Raw genomic sequence first — 11374 nt, 5'->3', positions numbered from 1 at the left:
AAGTATTATAGTCAATAAAGGCTTTTTGTGCATTATCTTATTTAACCTCCTAACCTGGGAGGTACATATTTTTACTACCCTCAATTTATAGAAAAAACTTAAGGCTGACAGGTAAGCACATACACTTAAACTTGGTCTAGCAGTCTCCTAAGTCCACATGCTGAGACACCAAGACCCTCTGCTTATGTGTCCTGGATGTGCACTTGCTATGAAGCTTTCAGAGATTTTTACATACATATTACCATATTGCCTTACAGAAAAGCTGTAGCCCCTTTCTTGCCAAGCTGCTGATGAAAACAAAAATAGATTAGCTGGATGTGGTGGTGCACGCCTGTAATCCTAGCTACTTGGGAGGCTGAGGCAGGAGAATCGCTTGAACCCAGGAGGCGGAGGTTGCAGTGAGCCGAGATCCGGCCACTTCACTCCAGCCTGGGTGAAAGAATGAGACTGTGTCTCAAAATAAAATAAAATAAAATAAAAAATAAAATAGATGCCAGTTTGATAGTTTGATTTGATTTTGAGTGTTCTACTGTTTAACAGTTGACCTTATTTTTTTTATGACTTTTTCCTTTATAAATGCTCTGTTTCATAGCTGAAACTAAGTTCATAGATGCAGCTTTCTCCTCTTTACCTCCATTTTCTTCTTTATCTTTCTTGAATTTTAAAAAAACAACTAAGTAGTGTTCATTGGTTCGAACACACGTGCAAGTGGCCCCGGTGTCTCCCATGTCTAACTGATAATGTCATTGTAACAGGATTGCAGTAGAGGCTGCTAGCTGCTGATTAAAATCTGTGTTTTCTCCTTTTTCTGAGCACACAGCTGGACTCCATTCCCCAGGCTTTCCTGTAGTTTGGTGTAGCCCTCTGACTGAGTTCTAGCCAACAGGATAGGAGTGGATCTGGCCAGTAGGAACCTATACGTTTTCCTCCATCACCTTCTCCCTTCCAAATGATGGAATAGAGACAAGCTCTTGAGGAACCTTGTTTGAGAGATAGCACAGCACCTTTTAGCTGTGGCATAGAGCCCACCTATCAGTTAGTTACACCAGCATTGGACTATTCCATGAGCAAAAACCAAAATTATGTTGTGCTGAGTCATTGAAATTTTGTTACAGTACCTAACATTATCCTGCCTGATAGAAGGATTTTTGCTTTATATGTGTCAATTACCATTGACACATCTGCCGGATTCTTTCCCTTAGGTCAAGGGAAATCTGATGCCCTTGCACTTAGGCTCATTTAAATCAATGTTGTATAAATTTAATAATTGCTCAGAGATGCCATTTTGTTGGGGTAGGAGTAAAATGACAGTCTAGTTTATCTCTGCTTTATTTATTTATTTTTAAAAATATATTTCCTTCTTTTGGACTTCAGGGGCAGAAATTTTCATCAGTTCCTGGCACACTTCCATTATTGGTCTCTGAAAAATCTCCACTTGTTATAATTATATTTTTCCTCTATTCTTAATACTCCCACTTCTTTCTCTCTGGTAGATACACATTCTAAGTTGTTCAGTATATTTACTTGGATTCCTATATATTCATATTGCATTGGTTTGCGTGTTTATGCATTTTTAATTTACTTATATGAAATTTTGCTGTAGATCTTATTCAGTTTCTTCCTGTTTTCACTCACAAACTGTTCTCAATATCTATCTATGTTGTATATTTGTCCCATTTGTTAATCCTATCTGTTGGGCAAATTCTCACCTCATTTTCTTTTAGAGTTGAACTTCTAGATTGCCTTCCGCTCACCACCTCAATGAGCAATACAGTGGTGAATGGTATGTGCCCTTTAACGGGCATGTGTGAGAATTTCTCTGGGAGACACATGGGTTTTCAGGGTCATAGGACATAAATACTGGCAGGTTGCTTTTCTGAATGGTTCATCAACTTACACTCAGTGTATGAGGGGTCTCATTCACCAATCAGTAGTATCCTCCCTTCCAACTTTTTCTCGTCCTGATGGGTACAGAATAAAATTTCATGTTTGCTTTAATTCATATATATGTTATTAACAACCAGTGTGTGAGCATCTCTTAAGTAAGATCTTAGCCATTCAACTTTCCCTTCTGTGAATTGCCTTTGTTTCAAAGACAAAAAAAGCAGATCATTCAATTTTCCCATAAGCTATATGGGAAATCCTGTAGGAACTGTGAAAAAAATGTATCTCACCTCTTTCTGTTGTCCAACTTACACTTCTCTTTAAATAATGTTACAGGCTGTCGATAAGCTGATAGATTTGTTCATTCCTTTTAGAAATATGTTCAGGCAATATATAATATGTTCAGGATGTAGAGGGGGGTATAAGTCACATGATACCTGCCCTCATGGTTTTCCTGAATTGATGGAAGAGATGGGCCAGTGTTTTGTTGTCTTACTTTCTGGAGGAGTAAACGTCAAGGCGTGAGCTATTCATACTTCGATAAATGATGAACTTCCTCTGCCACATTTCCTTTTCTCAGTTGAATTTGCAGTGTCCCTGGTAACTTTGAAGTATGAATTGCTGGTAACAACTAACAAAAGGACACATTTACTGCTTCCAATGTTTATTAACTCAAAAACTCACTGAGGCATCCTTTCTTAAAAAAAAAGGAAGAACAACTTAAGTACCAAAATACTTTGCCAGTATATGCCCTCCTTAGAAAGAAAGAAGAGAGAGAGAGCTGTAATCTAATCCTCCCTCCACTCATTCTGTAGTTGAGGGAATGAAGTTCAGAGGGATATAAATAATCCTCAGTTTAGAGCCTTCTGGAAATCTTCCCAATACACCACCGTGGTTCTATTTTTTTAATGTTGTTTTCATTTGAAACTAGATTCATGCAGCTTGCTCATGTGAAATGAGAATGAAAAAAAAAAAAAGTTAGGGTCTGGAAAGGAAGAGAAGGATTAAATAAGGAGTTCTGCTAGGATGTAGCCATCATAATCTAATACACCACAGGCAGCCCTGCTCCAGGGAATCCTGACTTTCAAGGACTGGAGCTCTTGAGGACAGCTGGCACTCAGCTGGTCATATTGCCGGCCTCACATAGCCTCACTGTCTCCCATAAACTCAACTGATGCTATTTAGACTTTTTAAAAAAAATTGCGGCACAGGAAATTTTTCCTCAATGCATGTGAGAGCTGTTTGATTCCCCAAAGAAAAAGACTTGGCAAGTCAGTTGTGAGGAAAGGAGAAAGACTGAACACATGAGCACATTTTAACAATGTCCAAGTGTAAGTTTTATTGCCAACGGTAGACATGCACTGGAATTTGAATCCCAGCCCAAATGCTAAATGCGGTTGTTTTTATCTATGTGGAGAACATTGCGGTTTTCTTCTGAGGTGAGTCACTTCGTTGTGATTTATGCAGTTAGTAAATGTATCTGATTTGTTTTTGTTAGTGAGTTCAAAGTTTGTTTTTGCTTTTTATTTGTTTTTGTTTCATTTTGTTTTTTTTCCCAGTGAAGAAACTATCAGGTCTGGTAAGAATAAGAGGAAACAAAATGTTATTGGCATGCTCAATAATGATAAAGCCAAGATGTCACCTGCCAGTACAATGAAGAGGGACTGGGGTCTTGGCACTAAAAGGTAAACTTGGAATTTCAGCAGCCTAGGACTTTGTGTCAGTATCTGACAGCATCTTTACAAGGCCATTCTGGGTTGTCCCATCAGAAATACTAAGCCTTTTGTGCTGTGTGATCTTAATTTTGTTTAATGTGTTACATGATTTCATGATAAGGCCTAGGTGACATTTAAACATTTATTACCAAACTCGAGGTTTCTCTGTAGGACTAGATCAGTTGGCCCAATAAATCAGATTAATTTGCAAACCTGATATAAAATATTTAGGAGTGCCTTGAACTTTAGGAGTTTTTTGGGTCAGTTGATTCTGTGACTGCTGGCATATAGGCACTGTGACCAAATAATTCAGACACAGTTATATTAATTGTTGTCAGTAGTTTTTCTATGCCTTTATACCAAATAAGTTGTGATCACTAGGATGACATTTTTTTCTATTAACTTGTTTTTCTTCTTATTCTTTAACTTAAAGCAATAATGCATGATAATGTATATATTTGCAAGACCAAGATCATCTATTAATTTGGCTAATTTTATCATACAAATAATTTCATCATATAATAAATAGATTATATCATATAGATATACAATATAGATTTCAGCATATAATAAATATTCTCACTGAAGGAGAAGCAGCACTGAGCTATCCATGGAGTGGCTCAACATATTTTAAAACATAAAGTGAACAAGTGTCATTCAGAGTTTTCATTTAAATTTGCATTGTTGGAGGGGATATTAGATCCAAGCTCACATTAACTGTTGAGACTGTAAACAACTTTACTCAAATAGAACAAAAAAGGGGGGTGGACAGAACTACCTTGCAAACATTTTTTTCCGTCATTTATTTCTTCCCCGTGTTTATTTTTCCAGTCTCCCTGAATTGCCATCATGTCATGAAAAATACTTTGTTTTAAACTTAATGGAATGGATTGTCATTTTGGTGGATTTTTGCCAGTGAAGAATTTATCAGACTCAATAGCCTCCATCACTTGGCAGGACAGAAAGGCCTCGAAAGCCTCTTTCAGTATCTCTGAGCATACCTAACATTTAGAAAGGTAGGCCTGTGTAGCAAGTGTGAAAGTGTTCCTCTCCATGCCCTTACGGCTTTACTCAACCATGTTTCCTCTTTTATCATTTATTGGAAAAACCTTTTACTATCTCTTCTTACTTCCTTTCCTTTGTTAGCTACAAAGGGAAGATTTTCTTTTGCAAATCCTTAGTAATTAAATGAGCACTTCAGTGGCTGTAGCCCTCAATGGCCTGTTTCCTAGGTTTTGCCTTTGACAGTCATATTTTGCAAAGGCCCCTGAGATGACTCTGCATCTTCCCCTACTCAACGCTAAACCAACTGAAGCCCGTGCTCACTGCATGAAGGAGGAAAAGATTCATTAAGGGCACTTCATTAAGAGGCTGAAATGGGAAGCTCTAAATGCGCCTGAACCAACTACAATCCAGAGAAGCTGTCTATTAGGAGTGCCACAAAGACAGTTTCGGAAGCTAAACTCCAGCTCCAGTGCATCGGATTAGGAAGAGTGATGGGATTAGTGTTTAATGACTTGGGGCAGGAGACAAAGGGAATTTCGACAAAGAGGCTTAGATATGGAAGAATTAACACTCTGTATTCCAACCAGGCCTCTGATGACTTCCAGCATTCTTTTCAGACTCAAAAGCCAAGGGAAGGGAATAAAAAAAAAAAAAAGATGTGCAAAGCTTTAATACTTTTCTAACTTTTTTTATTGCAACAACAATACAGAGGAAATAAAAGAACCCTATTCACTCCTTTGGACTTGAAACCTCTTTTAAAAATAAGCATCTACAATTGTATAATTAGCCCCAAGGTGAGCTTGCCCAGGGCCTCAAACATGTGCCAGAATGCTTCTCTGCTTCCTAATGCTAGGGCAAGTCACAAACTGATGTGGACACTAAAGCAAAACCTATGGTAGCAGAGGCCCAGCTAAGTGGCTGTACAAGATTTTTTTCTCTCCATGGCTGTTTATGTTACAGGTGCAACTGAAGGAACAGAGAAACTGTGTAATTGTAAAACCTCCTTGTGGCCCCACATGGCTCATACTCAAATGATTCCAGTGTCTATGGCCTGAGAAGTGCTTCATGAAATGAGGTGATTATCTTGACTACATGAGGGGATAACTTTGGAAATGTGCTTAAAGTTCAAAAGTGCTCTTGAAAAGGCATCAAGTCAACTCAGAGGCAATGTTGGAGCTTATCTGTAGCATTTCCCCCGGCTTGGACAAGAATACGGCATCATTATCTAAACACAAAGCCAAATGTAAGTGGCTGACCCTGGAGTGGAGTATTATTCCTGGGGCTGTTAAGTAAATAGACCCTGAGCACCAAATGCCTGAGAGCAGTAAGTGTGTGATTATGCCCTGCTGCTGCGAATGGCAAAATGCAGGTGCAAATGTTACTGTAGGCAACAGTACAATCCAAATAGGGCTGTAAATGATCTTGCACTGTAAACCAATTCAATGTGTCCTTATTTTTAACCAAACTAAATTCCTTGCAGAAAAGCTGGGTATTCATTTCATGTATTAGCCAGTATGAAATGGTTCTGAAGCAGTTCTAGACACCAAGGTATTATTTAACCCGTGTGGTTTAGTGGGACAATGGCAGTCCCCTGCTGTAATCCATTCAGGGGCAATACCGGCAGTCAGTGTGAAATGAAATACATTACAGGGAAAGAGCTTAATGTGCTTTATAGGCAGTTGTTCATCCACATCAAACTTTAGTTTTTAAAATCCTAACATTTGATCCCACAACAGGAACAGTGCCTCAAGTCAGAGATTGGCATGGTGAGTCGCCGGGAGGTGGAAAAGAGGCACAGCTTCATTGAAGCTACAGTTGGCTGCAAGGAACCATTTCAAATCATCTTAGTTCTACGGGGCCATTCAGGTGGCAAAGGCCCAGGTAACATTTGATCAAGTTGCTACAGGGCTTGGACCTACTTTTATTGCCCCTTACTTTTCCCACTAACATTTTTGCTTGAAATATCGATGTTTTTTTGGTGCAGCAAAACTCTTTTCCCACAGCTAAATTGAAGTAGGGCATATGTGCTTCCCTCACCTCGCTCCCAGTCCCTCTTGACCCCGAAATGGTCTAGCAGCCTGTGCTTTGTTAAACTGAAAATGTGTAGAAATTTTTATAGAGATATTCAGCTATATAAATAGCTTTGAAATTTGTCATAACTTTAAAAACAGGTCAAAAAGGAAATTGAACAGCTAGTGAGTTTCTGTCTTAGTCCGTTTTGTGCTGCTATAACAGAATACCATAAACTAGGTAATTTATAAACAATAGAAGTTTATTTGTCTCAATGGCCAACAAGCATATGGAAAAATGTTCAACATCACTAATTATCAGGGAAATACAAATCAAAACCACAGTGCGATACCACGTAACTTCTGCAATAATGGTCATAATCAAAAAATAATAATAAATAAATAGATGTTGGCATGGATATGGTGAAAAGGGAACACTTTTACTGGGTTGGTGGGAATGTAAACTAGCACAACCACTATAGAAAACAGTATGGAGACTCCTTAAAGAACTAAAAGTAGACCTACCATTTGACCTAGCAACCCCACTGCTATGTATCTGCTCAGAAGTAAAGAAGTCATTATACAAAAAAGACACTTGTTACATGCATGTATATAGCAGTACAATTGCCCAAATGCCCATCAATCAATGAGTGGATAAAAAATGTTATATACATACATATATGTGTGTGTATATATACATATACATATACACACACACACACATACACACACACACACACACACACACACATATACCATGGAATACTGCTCAGCCAAAGAAAGGAATGAAATAATGGGATTTGCAGCAACCTGGATGGAATTGGAGGCTATTATTCTAAGTGAAGTAACTCAGGAATAGATAACCAAACATACATGTTCTCACTCATATGTGGGAACTAAGCTATGAGAATGCAAAGGCATAAGAATGATATATTGGAGTTTGGAGACTCAAAGGAAAGAGTGGGGGAGAGGGAGGGATAAAAGACTACACATTGGGTACAGTATACAATGCTTGAGTGATGGGTGCAACAAAATCTCAGAAATCCCCACTAATGAGCATATTCATGTAACAAAATACCATCTGTTCCCCAAAACTTATTGAAATAAAAAATAAAAAATTAATGATAATAACAATAAAAAGAAGTTTATTTGTCTTATGTTTCTGGAGGCCAGGAAGTCCAAGATCAAGGGGTTGCATCTAGTGGGGGTCTTCTTGCTGAGTCATAACCTGGCAGAAGACATCACATGAAGAGAGAATGGATGAGAGCCAGCAAGCAAGAGAGGGCCAAACTTGCTTTTATAACAAACCCATTCCTGACATCATGAACTTACCCCTGCCATAATGACATTAATCCATTCCAGGGGGCAAAGCTCTCATGACCTAATCACCTCTCAAAAGTGCCACCTCTCGATGCTGTTGCATTGGGGATTAAGTTTCCAACACATGAACTCTGGGGAGATGCATTCAAACCTTAGCAGTTTAATACAATCCAGTCAGCTTTTTGAAGGGCTTCATTGGTCTTCCCGGGAAATAGTTGCTTTTATTTTTGGTTTTCTACCATTTTCTTTTCCCCTCAGTTGCTTTTAGTAGAAAAGGGAGCTTTGGTAAAATTTTCTGATACAGTGTCAAACATATCAGTAACGGCTCACTAATGGCATTGCATTCAAACCTCAGAAACAGTTTTTGTCTTGTGTGTGACCTATATGCCACTGCACTGCTGAGCATCCAATTCTCCATGAATATCAATGATTTCCTCTGGTGGTGACCCTGATGAACTTCCCAGGCAAGTTTCCAAACTTTCATGGCTCATAGGTGGCTCCTGTGTCCTCACAGGTGGTGGCCTTGTGTCCCTGGAGTCTTCGAAGCAAACTGCTTCTTTGTTTCTTTGGATATAAAAGCTTATCAAATGGCTTTTTCAATATCATCCTCTTTTCAAAAGTGGATGAAGGGTTTATAGTCTTCAAAATATGATAACACTCAGAAGTGCATTTTTCTCAGTATTGTTTTGAAAGCATAAGCACTTATAAACAATGATTTTTAACCTTGGATGGGGGGACCAATAAGTTATTGTTAGGTGTCTATTAATCTACTTGTTGTGCAAGCATTCTCTAGAGTCTGAGTAAATAATATTTTAAAAGCTTTACTGAGATTATTGGCCATTTTTGTCAGTATGTTTTCTTAAGTCATACTAAAAGTTCAACTCATATCACTAAGGGGGTATGAAATTATTTTTTTCTTGGGGCGGGGAAGTATGAGATATAAAATTCTCAACTTCCAAGTGATATGATTTGGCTCTGTGTCCCCACCCAAATCTCATGTTGAATTGTAACCCCCAGTGTTGGGGGAGGGACCCGGTAAGAGGTGATTGGATTATGGGGGTAGATTTTTCCCATGCTGTTCTTGTGATAGTGAGTTATCATGAGATCTGGTTGTTTAAGAGTGTGTAGCACTTCCCTCTTTGCTCTCTCTCTCCTGCTGCCATGTAAAGATGTGCTTGCTTCCCATTTGCCCTGCCTCCATGATTGTAAGTTTCCTGAGGCCTCCCCTGCCATGTCTTCTATACAACCTGTGGAGCTGTGAGTCAATTAAATCCCTCTTTATAAACTACCCATACTCAGGTAGTTCTTTATAGCAGTGTGAGAACAGACTAATACACCAAGTAATAAAACCTCAACTTAAAGTAGCTGAAGTCAAAAGGAGAAGTTGTTGGCTCAGATTGTTCAGAGGTATGTTGAGCTCCATTTGCCTTTGTTCAGCTTCAGGCAAGCTTTTTCCATAAGGTGGTGAGAGCATCCTGGTGCTTGCCACATGAATACATGATCCTGAAGCTTTGTGAACTCAAGAGAGACTTTATCCCAACAATCAAACTCCAAAGCAGTGTTTGGATTGGTTATCCCTACTTCATGTATTTCTCTCTGGACTAATCACAGGCATTAAGACATATAAGGTAAACTGACTGGTCAGTGTAAATCACATGTCCAATTCTGTAAAGGAAGAAGAGGTAAGAAGAAGTGAAGCCCTCTTCTTCCTTTGCAGAGTTGAATATGTGGCTTATAGTCCTTCTAGAGTCAACATGGAGAGAGAGAGGAGACACTTTCCAAACAAAAAAAGGATGTGATGAATAGACAAGCAATTCTTGTCCACTGAAAAAAGGGTTCTTATATTTGCTTCATATTTATAAGTCTTAGGGATATTATTCTAGAATTACATTATTATTTTCTTGATGTTTGCACTACAGTTCTCCTCTAGGTATTAGAGGTCAGCTAAGCACAAATGAGATGAATGGGAATACTCTGGGAGGCACTGTTTCTGCAGCCAATCCCAAAGAGGTTTGTATGCCTGTGTGTGTTTGGGTGCGAGAAGAAGAAGAATGAAGTGTCAGAAGGAGAGCTGTCAAAATGAAATATCAAAATTCCCTTAAAATCCAAATCTCAATTCTGTTCTGTAAGTTTAAAACAAAACAAAATGAACTTGCACACATACACACACCACTAGGACCACCACTACAATCACCACTACCAAACAGATGCAAGCTATAAGGTTTTAATTCCAAAAAGACCCAGAATATTTCTATTCCTTATTTGTCTTTAATTATTGTGTTCTTTTTGTATGGGCACCCTAGATTGGGAGATTCAGCCCTAGGATTAGAGCTCGGAGTAGCATGGATCTCATTCCCAGGTCTCCATTTCTTGGCTAGCTTCTTTTCCCTGGACAATCCATTCCTTCACAGGAGTCAGTAATTCTGCAACTAATCTAATGCCCATTTACTTTCCTTATCTGACTCTGTCTGTCAGTCTTTTCACTTTCATCTCTTCTGGCATTACTCCTCATTTCCTTAATTTTCCCTACATTTTCCCATTATGTGAAATAAAAACACTTCAAATCCTTATTTCACTTTTCTCAGCTATAGGTATTACAGACAACTGGCATACCATGAAGATAAGCTGACTCTTACAAGAGTAATACAATGATGATGAAAATGAACATTGAGTCCTTATTATTTCCTAGACACTCTATCTATTATTATCTATTTAATCCTCACGCCAACCTAATGGGATGGAGTAGTAGATCCATGTTAGTTTTATTTGAGAGGTTTCAGCCTTTGAATGGCTGAGTTCAGCCTTTGAACCCATTTCTTACATTTGAGAAATTTCTAATAATATGAATTTTGCTTGAATTTCCCAGTATGGAAGTCAAAAAAATTCTTGTCCCAGGCTACCCTGCAGCTAAGGTATGAACACATCACCTATACTCAGCCAAACAGAGGTACCTGCCTCAGACTTTAAATTTGCATTGAGAGATGCAAAAATCAGGAAAGCAGAGAATTTATTTCTCCTTTAATGGTTGCAGAGGTGGCTTCAACATCAGCTTCCAGGGTTTACAGAGGCTGTGGTGGTGACATTAAATGTTTAAGTTCAGTAGCAATAACAGATAAGCCTCAGTATTCAGTGTCAGCAACAGTCAGGTGGAGTGATAGAGTCTCCACCTCACTCACATTGTGGCATCATTTTGGCTGTGGCTCAGGCTGTTACCTGCACCCCTTCTTTATGCCATTTCTGAGTCTGGTAGTTCAGCCTTCCCAATGTTTTCATAAACATAAAATACAGTGTTGTGGAGTTGAGCCACAAAGAAGCCTTTTCTACGTGCTTTCTCATACCCTTGCAATAAATTCCCTACTGTCTAATCAGCCATAGTTAGTTTATATCACTTGAAACAAAGAAATTTGATGGGAACAGAGATCATATTTTAAATTTCCTTCT

The 11374-nt window shown here is 38.6% G+C and overlaps 1 non-coding gene across 1 annotated transcript; it reads left to right on the top strand.

Annotated features, from left to right (window-relative positions):
• The first annotated feature begins 9584 nt into the window (after window positions 1–9584).
• Window positions 9585–9664, top strand: MIR4778 (microRNA 4778). Its single transcript, NR_039938.1, has one exon. It is a non-coding gene; the product is annotated as a microRNA 4778 (primary transcript).
• Window positions 9665–11374: the final 1710 nt, after the last annotated feature.

The sequence above is a fragment of the Homo sapiens genome, chromosome 2, assembly GCF_000001405.40.
Source record: "Homo sapiens chromosome 2, GRCh38.p14 Primary Assembly".
Classification (NCBI taxonomy): domain Eukaryota; kingdom Metazoa; phylum Chordata; class Mammalia; order Primates; family Hominidae; genus Homo; species Homo sapiens.
Note: the sequence above shows the minus strand (reverse complement) of the source record. Positions and strands in the feature narration are given on the sequence as shown.